The sequence below is a fragment of the Homo sapiens genome, chromosome 3 (genome assembly GCF_000001405.40).
Source record: "Homo sapiens chromosome 3, GRCh38.p14 Primary Assembly".
Lineage (NCBI taxonomy): Eukaryota > Metazoa > Chordata > Mammalia > Primates > Hominidae > Homo > Homo sapiens.
Genome location: NC_000003.12, coordinates 40201086 through 40216092, shown reverse-complemented (window position 1 = coordinate 40216092; position 15007 = coordinate 40201086). Strand labels below are relative to the sequence as shown.

Here is a 15007-nt window from a genome sequence, read left to right as displayed (position 1 = left end):
TAAAGAGGAAGATATTCTGCTTCTCTCTTTTGAAGATCCAAAAGAGAACCTAGAACTCTATCTTCCTGGCCTGGCAGGCCCTTCCCTAGGACACAGTTGTGGGAATGAAGAGTGCAGATGAGCATGAATGAAATAAAACCTCCTCACCTGTTCAAGCACTCTGGATAAGAGCTGTAGCTCTAAGTGGACAGCTAAAGCTTCTCTTTTTTCCTAGGGCAGCAGTTAAATAGACAGTTGGGAAAGAGGTGTTAATTCCTCAATAGGCATAAGGCCTATTGAAATCAGTGTAGTTTGGAAGTTATAAGTCAGTATCTAATACTATATTCACTCTAGCAGTAAGTGAAGATGAGGCACTCTTCTGAAATAAAATGCTCCCTGGGTTGTAGGGTGCTGTAGCCTCACATGAATGGTTAAGTTATTTTATGAACGTCAGACATATATAGACAACGATACTTGATTTTATGTTAACACCATGACATCAACAAATTTTTTTTCACAAGCACATTAAACTTGAGAAACCAGAGTCTCTGGGTTTTCTCAGACAACAGTCAATAAATCTGCTTCCTTCACCATTCACCAGGATTGGGTTTCCATGTGGCTTGGCTCTAGTAATTGGGGGGCAGCCATCAGAAGATGCACAAATTATTCTCTTGTTTAGGGGAGAAAGACATTTATTAGTTTAGAGAAGTCTCAGTACTTTGATGAAAATTATTCTATGAAATGATAAATAAAATTCAATTTTTTCAAAATTGAAAAAAATGAAAATTACTCTATGAAACTCTAAATGTAGTTTCACTCTTTAAAGTGAAACTATGAGTCAGTTTGAATCCCTGCAGAGATGTCTGCTGGTTGTTGACTCCCTTGTGAAAATAAAGCACAATGGCTCAGCTACTTGTGATAATTAATAAACAAAGACTCTTAATAAAAATGCTTTAAGGACACTAGATGTACAAATTTGACTATAGTGCAAGATTTTCCTAATCTAGGCCTTTAATAAATGCTCATGTTCCAAAAGATTGATACATAGGACATCTTTTTTCATCTACAGTATTGCAAATGATACTTATGTTAAGAAGCAAAAACCTATGTATTCTATCGCATATCTACAACTTTGGAATTTTGGAGCCAGAAGGGACCTTGGGGACTGCTGGTCCAGGCCTGGAAAAATTAGGGGGTTTGGGGAGACTTGGCCCCTGATGTAGTCTCCAAACTCAGGCCAGGAGTCCTTAGTCCTCTTTTGCATCCCCCTTTAGGAGGGCAGCAGCTGCGTCCCTAGAGGCAAAAAGAACCACTTTAGCCAGGACTTTCTTCCAGAACCATTGGCATGGCTGTTCAGTGGTTGGGGAGAAACGAGTGCTCATTCCCAGGCTTTGAAGACCATGTGGTTTGGAAGGCTGACCGCTGAGGTCTGGTGGAACCAAGTTATTACTTAAAGAAGAAACATGACCTTTTGGGAATCCAGTTTCCAAGAAGTTTTGATCTGGCTCCAAGCTCGTTCTTCAGCTGGTTAAATTCAGGTTGCAGTGCCCATCCTTAAGTAATCACTGGGCCCCAGCATCCAGCCAAAGGAAGACATTTAATCCAACTGTAGGGATATGTTTGCATACAGCAAAGGTTTGAATCACATCAGGAAAAAGTATGTTTCTAAAATGGTTCTTCTGCTGCTGGACAGGATTCTGTAGCTCCAATTAGATGGGATGTTATACTGAGGACATTGAGCTGCCACTGATGTCACTGTGTCTACGGGCATATCCACATTCCTCTGCTTTGGCTCCCAAACAGCAGGGACAGTGATGGAGGCCCTGGCTGAGCTCCCCCTCTGTGTGAGGCAAGCCTCCTTTTGGTGAGATGAGGCCTATCAGTAGCCAATTTGGTGGTTAGACTTCCTCACTGCTTATTCACAATACCAAAGTAAGTATTTGCGATTTATGGATGACACTTTTCTTCTGTTTGTCTTAGTCTAGGCTCCCCCAGAAGATGACCCTGAGACAAAAATTGGGGTGCACATGGCTTATGTGGGAGGCAATCCCAGGAAACAGTGGCAGAGGAGTGGGGAAGTGGGACAGGAAAGGGAACAGAGTCTGTAGAGAAGACTGCCGTATCATGTAGTTTATCAAGTAGTTTATCACTGTGGGTGCCTCCAGCTGAGGCAGTCAGTGCATGGCTCAAGCCTCAGAGTCACCATCCCAACCGAAGCAAAGCAAAGGAGCTGGGATATTTACACCCTTCCCATCAGTCACTAGTTAGTGCCTCACTCCCGCTCCTGGGAGTGGTATTTCTCTGGCACTTCCAGCTAGTCTTCTGTGTAGGAAGAGGAGCTCTTGCTACTCAGAGAAGGTCCTCAGGTAGTTGGACTTTGGGCTAGTGTGCACTACCATGGTTAAGAAACAAGGGTGGCGCAGTGGCGCTTCTGGAATAGTCACATTACCGTAGATCTACTCCCCAAAGAGTGTGTGTGTGTGTCTGTGTGTGTGTGTGTGTGTTGCTCAGACTAGTGGTGTTGGGGTCATGGGGACATCACAGTTAACTCTGATCCTGAAGATGGTAACCTAGGGGTCTGATGTAGTGATTTCCACACTTACACTCTGCATAGCATCAAGGAGCACCAAATGTAGTTACAGACCCACAGCATGACACTGCAAGTGTTGATGGGGATCAGCACTAAGCTGTTCCTTCAGTACCAGCAGATGGATGTTATTTCATGACAGTGAAGCTTATTTTTCTAAAGCTACAATAATTAAGATTTGCTGGGCTCCTGCTATATGCTAAATCCTACACTACATAATTCATTCCTCACAACCCTATAAGGGGTTATGATTATCCCCATTTTACAAATGAGGCCAAGATGTGTTTATTCAATCAACAATGAAAACCTGGACTGGGTCCTAGGGATCAATTAAAAAGCAAGACAGACATGAGCCTGTTGACAGGCTGTAAGCAAGTGCAGGAACTGTAGGGCAGCCTGGCCACTGAGTGGAGAAAGAATTAGAAGGGCCAAGAAGGGCCTGCAGGGTCAGGAGACCAGTTAGGAGGTGAGGTAGAGTAAGCAGGCAAGAAATGAATTGTCAGGTTCTAAGTAGTAGCAGTGAGGTAAGCCATTAACCAATGCCACAGAGTTTGCAAACTGCATGGTTTTGTTTTTCTTTTTCCTTTTATTTATATATTTATTTTTGAGACAGGGTCTCACTCTGTCATTGCCCAGGCTGGAGTGCTGTGGTGCAATCATGGGTCACTGCAGCCTCAACCTCCTGGGTTCAAGTCATCTCAGCCTCTCGAGTAACTGGGACCACAGACATTAACCACCATGCTTGGCTAATTTTTTTGTTTTTATTTACTTATATATTTTTTGAGACAGGGTCTCACTCTGTCACCCAGGCTGGAGTCCAGTGATGAGCCTCAACCTCGTGGGCCCAAGTGATCCTCCCACCTCAGCCTCTTACATAGCTGAGACTACAGGTGCACGCCACCAAGCCTGGCTAATTTTTTAGTAGAGATGGGTTTTTGCCGTGTTGCCTAGGCTGGTCTGAAAATCCTAGGCTCAAGCGATCTGCCTGCCTTGGCCTCCCAAAGTGCTGGGATTATGGGCATGAGCCACTGCGCCTGGGCGATTATGCTTCAAACTCAGTCTAATCCTAAAATATATCTCAAAACTTTTCTGTTTTTAAATAATATTCAATACTTAACCCTATATTTCTGTTTTTCTTTAACTACAGTAGTACCTGCCTGATGGGGAAACCATATATTATATAGTTATATATATATGTGGCTGAGCCCCTGAACCCTCCAACATATATATATAGTCTATATGGCGCTCTCTCTCTATATATATACGTGTATATATATATATGTGTGTGTGTGTGTGTGTGTATATATATATATACACACACGTATATATATGTATATACACATACACGTATATATATGTATATATATATACACGTATATATATGTATATATATATACACGTATATATATGTATATATATATACACACACACATATATATATATGGCTATATGGACTTTTACATGCAAAAGAATATGTTTGAATATTTAATTCATTGACTCATGGAAGACTAGGAAGGCAAGACTTGAACTTTGAAAAGCTGACACATTCGGGAATCTGAATAAAGCCAACTCTCTTAATTTCCTGCCTAATTAGGGCAGGGGCAGGATGGGGGCGCTTGTCCAAGTCCCCAGGAAGTCCCCCCAGTAGCTCCTCCTTTCTCTGCTGACACTCTGCCCAGGGGAGAATAGCGTACATTGGTGACTGCCTCCAGGAGGTTGCTCCTTGCAGAATGATGAAGGGTGAGGTTGCATGACTCACAGCCTGGCATGCCACTGGTACAGTGAGAGTTTTTAGAGCCTTGGGACCATAGGCAGCAAAGCCAGTGGGAGATAAAGCCATTGTAAGAAAGAATGTGATATTCTCCAGTTACCATCTGGCTCTAAGCTCCAGCGTACAAATCTGACTGTAATGCAGCATCAGTTCAAGTAACAGAGAGGATCAGAGCCCTTACCATTTGCAATAGGTTGGAGTCCATATCCCAGTGAGGGGCTCCTCGTGGAGAACAAGCTCCACTCTCCAACTCACAGACAAGCCAGGGAAAGATTTATGGGTGAGGACTTGATGGTTATGGAGGGTGGGATGGGAAAAGTGAAATACAGAGTCTGAGGTGTTGGAGGGTTCAGGGGCTCAGCCACGGGTAATGGTCTTCACTTCATCCTCCACAGGACCCCAGCTCGGCTGCTGGGCAGATGAAGGCAGCTCCTTCACTCATGCATGTGCATTACCAGCAACTTCTTAGTTTACACAGTATATACTTGGGACACAGAAAACACCTGGGAGGTTTTTCTCTAACAGAATCATCACTCTGAAGATAAAATAGAATCTCTGGCTCATTGTAAAGGAAGGGGCCTGTGATTTAAGGCCAAGCAGGTTTGTGATGCAGCCTTAGCTCTGAAACTTACCAGATGTGAGCCCTGGGTAAGGACCTCAATGACTCAGGTTCAGTTTCCTCTTCTGCAAAAATGGGCTGCTTCTATTTCAAAGGGTTATTTAAGGACCTAATGAACATGTGTACAGGCACACGCACAGAGGAGACACAGAGGAGACACTCAACAAATGTTAGTGTGTTCCCTTCCATTGGAGGCTGGCAGGGATATTCTGACTCTAAAGTGGCAAGTCTAGCATAAATGTGCTTTGAGAAGCTGTAGAGGAAACCCCAATGCTGGAGGACAGCAGGCAGAGCACTGACAATGGGGAGGGAGTGTGGGATTCTTTTATGCCAGAGGTTGAGTTTATCTTCTGTGGTTTTCCAACTGTGTCCTTTGGAACTCAGGGGCCTACTGGGGGTAGGAAAAGGGGAGGAGGAGTGTGGGTCTGAAAATCAAGCGGTTAGGGCTTTGGGGACCCTGAGACAAGAATAATTTTTTTCTGTGTGAAACACTGGGATTCCATATAAAGATTGTTTGAAAAAGGATTCCGACGCTAAAACAACCAAATCGAAATCTGAAAACTGCAGAGAGAAACAATCCAGAAGGCCACTTTGAACACAGAGGCTCCATAGCATGGAGCAGAGCTTCATCACTGATTAAAAGAGGGGTTGGCTAGATGACCTTAATCCATGGGCAAAATTCTTCATGTACCAGCAGATGGATGTATCTGCTCAGGGAGAGGGTGGAGCAGGAAATAATACTGATTTTTACCAGTGAGAGGGATAAGGGGCACTAAATCATAGACTCAAAGCCAAGGGGCTGTCTTGATGAAAGATAGTGGAAGGTAAGAGTTCTTGGGAAACTTCCATGATGCTGTTTTCCTGATTGTACCCCCCAGTGCAAGTTAAGAAGGGTTCTCTTAGGCTCTCCCAAATGCACAGGGATGGGCATTTTAGAGAGAGCTCTTTGGGGACCCAGCAGCTTTCTGCACCAATATAGGATCTTTCTCCAACACCCCACTGCAGAAGCTTGAGCTGTCTGCAGGTGGCTTCACAGCCCTTACCTTCTTCAGCTCTTCCTGGACACTCTGGCTGTTGTCTTCAGAGGACAGACTTTCCTTCTGGTTCTCAGATTCTGTCTTGGGCTCAGACTCCTGATCCTCCCCTGAAGAAGTCTCCTTTTCACTCATTTTCATTGCTAACTCGTACAGCCTGTTTCTCCGTTTCTCCTCTGTGGTGTCTGTGAGAGTCTGGGGATCCCGAGCCTCATTGCTGATGTCTGTCTCTGATAAATCATCCGACACCTAAATGAAAGCCAGAATCATGAGATGAGGAGCCCTCTGCTACAGCCATGTTGCTTCTTGTTCCCAATAACCCCTGAGTAAAGGAACATAGGAACATATAGTCTAGGAAAGTAACAGCTTTCTTACCTGGTCTGCTTTCTCTTCAGATGGACTTTTAGTTTTACCTTTACTTTCTCAAATGCATGAATTTGAGAAGGTAATCCTCTTTACTCAAAAAAGTGTTTGAATTCTTTTTTTTTTTCATTCACAGACTACTCTCTGAGCTCCTACCATGGGCAGCACTGTGCTGGTGCAAAGGATGCTTGGAGAACCTGACCAGCCCTTGCCTGGGCCAGCCCTGTAATGAATGAGACACACTAAAACTTTCCATATTCACTTTTAAAAATTGATACCTAATAATTGTACATATTTATAGGATACATGTGATATCTGATACATGCCTACATTGTGTAATGATCAAATCAGGATAATTAAGATATCCATCACTTCAAACATTTATCATTTCTTTGTGTTGAGAACATTCCAAATATACAATAAATTATTATTTTTAGAGACAGGGTCTCATTGTGTTGCCCAGGCTGGAGTGCAGTAGCTATTCACAGACATAATCCCATCACTGATTAGCATGGGAGCTTGGAGCTGCTTTGTTTCCAGTCTGGGCTAGTTCACCCCTCCTCAGGCAATCTGGTGGTCTCCCGCTCCCGGGAGGTCACCATATTGACGCCAAACTTAGTGCAGACACCCAACCAGCACAGCACATTACAGCCCAGAGCTCCTAGGCTCAAGCGATTCTCTTTGCCTTAGTCTTCCAAGTAGCTGGGACTACAGACACATGCCACCATGCGCAGCCCAAATAAACAATAAATTATGTTAACTACAGTTCTCTTACTGTGCTATCTAACATAAGAACTCATTCCTTCTATCTGACTGTATTTTTGTAACCAGTAACCAATAGGGTGGGAATGGAGAGGAAGAGGCATTGGCTAATGAGTACTAACTTTTCATGGTGGTTCAATGCAGAGAAGATGATGTTTGTGGCTGGGATGTGGGGAAGGGAAGGGATTCTCACAGCCCATAAATAAGCACTTGATGGGAGGGGTTGAGGATTAGGGAAAACTTCCCTGCGGAAGGGACTCTGAGTTGAGATTCAAAGTTAACAGTCAACCAGCTAAAAGGAAGAGAGGGAAGAACAATATTCTAGGCAAAGGGCCAAGATTTTGAGATGGTACAAGGACCTTGCACATATGTAAGGAATATTGTTTGACATTCCCTTAATAATTATATCTCCTGCTCCAACTCTCCACTTGCTGAATATCTCCTAAACTCCTTCTGTGAGTAAACCCTTTACCAGGCTTGGGGAACTCCAGGAAGACATAGAGAGTGTGACTCTTACTCTATTCTTGGCCTTCAGTTAGACAGATGTGTGTTGAAGTGTTCATATGTACATAATATGGCATACCATCGGGGTCACTGGACCCAATTTTACTTTTTGAGTTTCCTCTTGGAGTTGTTTTATGTATTTGTACGGTTTGATATTTTATAACTTTTATTCTCTTAGAGGGCTTCTGAAGAACAAGAAGAGAACTTACTTATGTTTTAAATAAAATATAACTCATTACAATTACCATATGGGTTCACTTGACCTTTTTATAAATCTAAGATACATCATGGGATCTTTGTGATCTTATTTTTCCTATCTTTTGAAACATTTTGCTATTTCATCATCCAGGGAATTATTTCTCATCATTACTCACCAATTATTCCCAATTATGCTAAAGAAAGATGAAAAAATAAATAGAATAATGAAATTGCCTAGAAGGATGATTCAATAGTGACATAAATCATCACTATTTTGAATCTGCTTTTAGCTTTCACTGCATACAATTGAAAATTCCAAAAACTGACAGAGAACAACATTTCACAATCACTAGATGACTCAAAAGATGAATTCAAAGAGGACAGCAGGTCTCTAGATTCTAACAATAATGGTGAAATTGGTTATATTATTGAAATCTCAGACTAAGAGTCTTCAGATGACAGTGTCCTAGGTGAATTTTCTCAAGCTCAAGAATTGATGAGTAAATATTATCAACAATATTAGTAAGGATGAAAAAGAAGTATGGTCTTTTCATCCAGTTACTCATTCAGCAGGAAGGACTTCATCACACAACATTTTGCAACAATAATCTGGATATCTTGCTTTTTTAAAAAGATATGTGACATGTTCTTTCATACTTTGTTTGTGTATCAATTTTACTTGAGACAGTTTGTAATTGGATAAATTCTAAAGGGAGACATCTATCCAAAGGTGATTAGAAGAAAACAGATGACATAGAAATGAAAAATATCACTGAATAATTAAGAGAAAAACATCTATTGGAAGTGACTATTTTTTTTTCTGGTCCTGAGTGAAAATCAGTGATGAGGGACTCATGTGAAGTAACCTGTGCTCCTAGCATGTTTGAGAAAGGGGAATTCCTTTGCCTGGGATGTGCAGGTGGTCCACAGGAAGAATGACCTCTGAGCAGGTTCTCAAAATATGAGGGACATTTTAATATGTCGTCATGGGACAGGCATTCTTGATGTAGAAGCAGCAAGACCAATAGGACCCAGGGTGCATGAAGCTGCTTGCATAGTTTGAGGGATAAGGTTCAGAAGTGGAGAGAGTGGGGAGCCAGGTGGTATGGAAAAATCAGGCCTGGGTCAGTCTGCAGAGCGTTAAACACCAGTCTAAGGAATAGGACTTTAACTATCAAATAGATTTTCTGCTACTGTTGTAGTATGCACTAAATTATGCAGGAAGTCAGCAACTAGTTACAAACTCAGCCATGGTGACCTTCTCTTATCATCTCTACACATGGAACTGTCAATTTATCTTAACTCTAGTTTACTTTTATTAATATTAAGCTTTGGCTCAATTATTGCTTGAATATACAGACAATGAAAGACTAATTTACAAGGCTAAAATAGTTAACCCAAAAGATGAAACCTGCTTAACATGATTTGTCCACGTTTCATGTCTATTTATCACATGAGAAATTATGAAGAATTGCTGTGATTCAGTCTACATCCAGCAAACACATGTTGAGCACCTACTATGTGCTGAGCACTGTGCTTTACTGGGGCTCAAAGGTGAGAGTGACACTGTTCCTGCCCTACTGGAGTTGACGGTGTGGTGGAGAGAGGAACATTGAACCAGACAATTGTAACACACTGGGGAACAGAATAACCACATGTAAGGTTTTGATGAGACTCAGAGGAAGGGCCCTCATCTGGTTGGTTGAGGTGGATATTGTCAGGAAGGGGAATTAGAATAGATAACTGAGCAAATCTTAAAGAATGGAATCCTAAAGATTATCAAGACATACAAGTTTTATTGGAGCAGCAAGAATCATAATGCTAAGTGATGGTTCTTGAGTTCACAGAAAGACAAATCGTATGCACACAGATCTGATGCCCAGATGATACCATGAGCATAACTGGAAGCACCATTATTAAAAGCCACAAGAACTTCAAAAATAACAGTATTATTTGGCCATATAATATTCATCAAGTAGATTAACAAATATTTACATCTCCAGAGAAAAATAGGTATTTTTAGCCTGCAAAGGGTTAAGCAATCCCTGCCCTATGTTATCAACTCACACATATTTCCCCCCATGAGCTGATTTTAATTTTCATGATAGCTGAGACAATAAATGCTAAGTTGGGATCTTGGCTGATATGGAGTCCATGGATGGGCCTCTGTGGACCCCTGATATTGTTCACAAACTTTGGTATGCACGCACACTTTTCTAGGATGAGCATTATTAGTTTTCATTAGATTTTCACAGGGGTCCATGCCTCCAAACGGCTAAGAAATACTGATAAGAATAAATCTACTTCCTAGTAAGACAACAATAGAGGGGTACGTGTTGATTGAACAGGAAATGGGAAGCTTACAGTTGAATTCAGAGAAAGGAGCAGTAAGGAGGTTTGTGTTTAAAGCCAGTTGGGAACCAGAATTTAGAGAAAATAAGGGTGCTGCTGAGTCTTCAGCCAAAAAAAAAATGCTCTTCTACTTCAAAGGGACCCTGATTATCACAACAACTTCACTGAAACACCAAACATACTCACTGTGTTGGACAGTGAGGGACATAAGCAGATCACAGAGAAGATTATGAACTCAGTGGAGAATCCTGAGGAGCTTTTGCAGGGAGGGTGGGAGGCGGTGGGAAAGAATGAAATTCCTTATGGGCAAACTGGATAACTATGAGCAATGTCTGTATCTGGGTACAAAACATTTTAAGTAATCTGAAAATCAGAGTTGCTTGCCCACTGGTGTGGTGTCTCAAACTCCCCACCTTATAAATCGATATTTGTACGTGTAATGGGACCATTATTTTGAAAACAAGAAAGCAGTGCTTTTCATTTCCCATTAAAACTGCATTCCCTTGTGTCCTCATTTTCTTAGGCTAAACCATAAGCATTTTACGCCAGGGAAGGTGAATGTAGATCCAGAACCAAAAGATCATTGATCAGTTCACTCCATTAGCTCTTTAGGGTAACAAAAGGCTCAAAAGACAGATTTTGTGAACATGGACAGAGGGTTTCTAGAGATGAATCTGTTCAAAAGACGAATTTCACTTCTCCTTCTATTGAAATCCAGAGAGAAGCAGCCTTGCAGGATGCCTGTGACCTCTGACCCCCCACCTCATGATGATATGGGGCAGCAGAATCAGAGTGCAATCACCCCTGATGAGAGGCTTCCAAGGGAGGCCGAAGGGGGGCTCCAGGGTCCTTCCTGGCACCTGTGTGGCATAGAGGGCACCCAGAAGCAGGGTCATAGAAGATTGCTGGTGACATTGTAATAAAGTAGCTGTCCTGGGATTGGACAGCCAGGGACAGGTAGCTGACATGTGTGAGAGCCACTCTGGTGCCCGTGGAAGGGGTGCTGGCTTCTATTGGAGCAGGACAGGGAACAGACCAAGGTTCCCAAGTCTTAGACATTGGCAGCAGATGCCAGTGAGGCAGAGAAATGACCTGACGAGCAGGGTCCCCATCACTGCAGAGTCCTGCAAGGACCCAGAGGACACCATCTAGCTCTAAGATGCCCTGCAGCCATGAGGACCCTACAAGCTCCCCAATATGCTCTCCAAGACAGTGAAGGCAGAGAAAGTGGAGGGTTTGGAGGACTGATTATTTACCTAGGAAAGGCGGGTTTAAATGGAAAGAAAAAGGAAAATAATTTAAATCACAAGAGGCCAAGTTTTCTTTGAATCGGTTGATTTACATTCCTAGCTACTCAGAATGGGGAGGCTAATGGAGAAGTTTAAGGCAGTTACTAAGGAACAAAACGTTGCCTCTTCCTTGCACACTTAAATGTAGTGTGTGGCCAGGCGTGGTGGTTCAGGCCTGTAATCCCAGCACTTTGGGAGGCTGAGGCGGGTGGATCATTTGAGGTCAGGAGTTTGAGGCCAGCCTGGCCAAAATGGCAAAACCCTGTCTCTACTAAAAATACAAAAATTAGCTGGATGTGCTCACTTGAACCCAGGAGATGGAGGTTGAAGTGAGCTGAGCTCGTACCACTGCACTCCAGCCTGGGTGACAGAGTGAGACTCTGTCTCAAAAAAAAAAAATATATATATATTTATATATAATATATAAATATATAATATAATATTTATATATTATATAATATATAAATATTATATTATATATTTATATATTATATAATATATTATATAATACTCTATATTTATATATTATATAATATATTATATAATATATAAATATATTATATAATATTTATTATATATAAATATATTATATATAATATATAATATATATAATATATATTATATATAATATATAATATATATAATATATATTATATATAATATATATAATGTATATAATATATAATATATATAATATATATTATATTATATTTATATAAATAATATATATTTATATAAATAAATATATATAAATATATAAATATATAAATATATATAAAAATATAAATAAATAAATAAATATATATAAATATATAAATATAAATATATATAAATAAATAAATATATAAATAAATAAATATATAAAAATATATAAATATATATAAATATATATAAAATATAAATATATATAAATATATAAAAATATATAAAATATAAAAATATAAATATATATAAAAATATAAAAATATATAAATATATATATATTTATATGGAACTTGGAGACCCTGGCTAAACAGAAAGTCATATCTTTAAACACTTAACGATAGAATACTCCTAAGATAAGCCAATATAGTTTCTTAAACAAGAGTCTTCTAATATGTTTTCAGTGGTGTGCAAGTTCTTTACAATAACCTTACATTTTGGTTTTCATCTCATTGATCACCTAAAAAAGAGGTATGTTCTGGATTACCTGGGCCTCAGCCCCACAGCTGGGTGCTGCCATGTGTGTAAGCTCTCCATTCTTATATCCGCATTTATATTTAGGGTGGTGCCAACATTTTTCTTAAATTGACAGTATTTAAAGTTTAATGCATATTTTCTCAAACTGGAGGTCTTCTAAAAATTCTTGAGGAATTTATTGAATTCTTCAGCTTAAGAAACACAAGGATAGAAATAAATGGAGAAGAGCCAGGCGCAGTGACTCACACCTGTAATCCCAGCACTTTGGGAGGCTGAGGTGGGCAGATTATGAGGTCAAGAGATCAAGACCATCCTGGCCAGCATGGTGAAACCCTGTCTTTACTAAAAATATAAAAAAATTAGCTGGGTGTGGTTGTATGCACCTGTAATCCCAGCTACTCTGGAGGCTGAGGCAGGAGAATCGCTTGAACCTGGGAGGTGGAGATTGCAGTGAGCCGACATTGCACCACTGCACTCCAGCCTGGCGACAGAGCAAAACTCAGTCTCAAATAAATAAATAAATAAATAAATAAATAAATAAATAAATAAGTAAATGGAGGTGAGGTGATGGGGATATGAGTGGTGGGGGAAGAAGGTACGAGACATTTCTCACTGCTGAGCACACTGTTTGGGTGCACACTCTACAGGGCACTGTGCACGGGATGTTGCATTCAAACATCCCAGCAGTTCTGGAACTCTGTATTGATGAAGACAAAGGCTGAGTGCACTGCCCAAGGTCACACTAGTGGATGGTTGAGCTGAAGGTGACCTGACCCTGAAGGCCAAGCTCTTCTCTTACACCAAAACAAGACTGGATGCTCCAAATTAAACCGTGCTCACTAAAAGGAAAACAGCAGAGCCACAAAGCAGGGGGAGAACCCAAGAGGCAAGGGGTTTAACCTCTTTTTTCACAAAAGGGCTTAAAGGAGTGAGAAGATAATTTTTCTAGAATTCTTTCTGGAGATGAATACCCTGAGATTTCCTTAGAACACTGTGTTTACCTCAGTAACCCCAGTGATCTGCGCACATTGAAATCCAGCCTACCGTAATTAAAAACATTTTTTTCTCCTATTTAGCCTCATCATCTTCCTTATAAAAGCAACCCCAGTCTGAGAAAAAGTTTTTCATAGAGGCTATCTTTCACCTGCCAGGTTGTTTCAGGAGGCAAAGGGCAGGCTAGGCTCTGGGCTTTCTCCACCTTTTAAAAAAGAGTCCAGATAAAGGATAACTTTCAACAGTCACATGTTAACATTTGTTGAATATATCCTTATGTCCTGGTGGCTCTCCTCATTCCTGTTGATGAAAGATACTGAACCTGACCTAAAAAACAAAGTTTCTGCAGCTTGCTTTTAGATTTTATTTTAGTAGACTTCAGAGAAAAGCTCCAGCTTATAGGTTAAACGACTCTAGGGCACTCAGTGTGGCAAATGTACATAGTTTTCCTTGCCAATCCTTTGGCACAGCTGTTCAGAGGGTGGAGGCAAGTGGATGAGCCGTGGGGCTGCTGGACTCTGCTGCTGATCTGTCTCTCCCAGAGGACTTGGAACGTTTCTGTCCCTGGTGTCTAAAGGTAGAAGTTTTCCCTTTTCCAATGCATTGCTGTTCACCTAAAACTAGTTTTATTCACATGCTGTGAATAAGGCATTTGTTTTCCTCATAATTGGTGTGATAACAGCACCCAGACACATACACAAATATACACCAAACCCTTGGTCAGTGTCACACAGTGGAAATGGAAAGACACCATCTGGAATCTCATAGAAATTAATATTATAATACATTTCCTATTGCCTCAAAGAGAGTCTCTCAAGGTTCTCTCATGGAGAACCCATCATGTGGAAGGACCTGCCTGGTTGGTGGAATTGCACAGAAGGTATGGGGACTAACTACCTGGTGATGAATTTGGTGAAGGATGTTATGAAATCTTAGCACCAGGATGTCATCTGGAAGGCTTATTTTTTTAGCTTTTATTATTACAGATCAGTTGCCTTGGTATATAGATTCCATGATTTCTGAGTCCTTCATATTACATTGATTTAAAAAACAAGTCTGAATCTAACCTGGAGCACATCTCCCACTCTAGGAACCAAAACCTCCTGACTTGGTATCCACCCCTCCTCTGTGTGTTTTCTCATTACTAATCTCCTATCTGATGGAATTAGACTATGCTATTTGTTGAAAGGGCAACCACTTATTCCCCAGAATTATGGCAATTCCATATAGAATATCTGGAAAATTGCTAGCCTGGGCTTTTCAGGTGAATGTTTACATGAGGAATGAACAAATTTAACCAATTTATGCCTGAGTTTGCAATTTTTTTGAATTTTTGCAATCAGACCTTGGCGATGACCTTGAGCAGTCAGATAAATA

General features: G+C 40.7%; 1 protein-coding gene, 1 long non-coding RNA gene and 1 pseudogene across 8 annotated transcripts in view; 1 reads left to right on the top strand and 2 right to left on the bottom strand.

Annotated features, from left to right (window-relative positions):
• MYRIP (myosin VIIA and Rab interacting protein) overlaps positions 1-15007 on the bottom strand; it is a 451408-nt gene that overhangs the window by 44229 nt on the left and 392172 nt on the right. For all 7 annotated transcript variants that reach the window (NR_104316.2, NM_001284423.2, NM_015460.4 and 4 more), the window contains one exon: positions 6000-6239. Coding sequence is in view for 6 of the 7 variants with exons in the window: in NM_001284423.2 (NP_001271352.1) it covers positions 6000-6239 (240 nt within the window). In the remaining variant the exon portion in view is untranslated. The remainder of the gene's footprint in view (positions 1-5999; positions 6240-15007) is intronic.
• The window catches only part of EIF1B-AS1 (EIF1B antisense RNA 1), a 136554-nt gene that overhangs the window by 93606 nt on the left and 27941 nt on the right, over positions 1-15007 (top strand). The window lies entirely within an intron of this gene.
• RN7SL411P (RNA, 7SL, cytoplasmic 411, pseudogene) lies at positions 6789-7088 on the bottom strand (annotated as a pseudogene).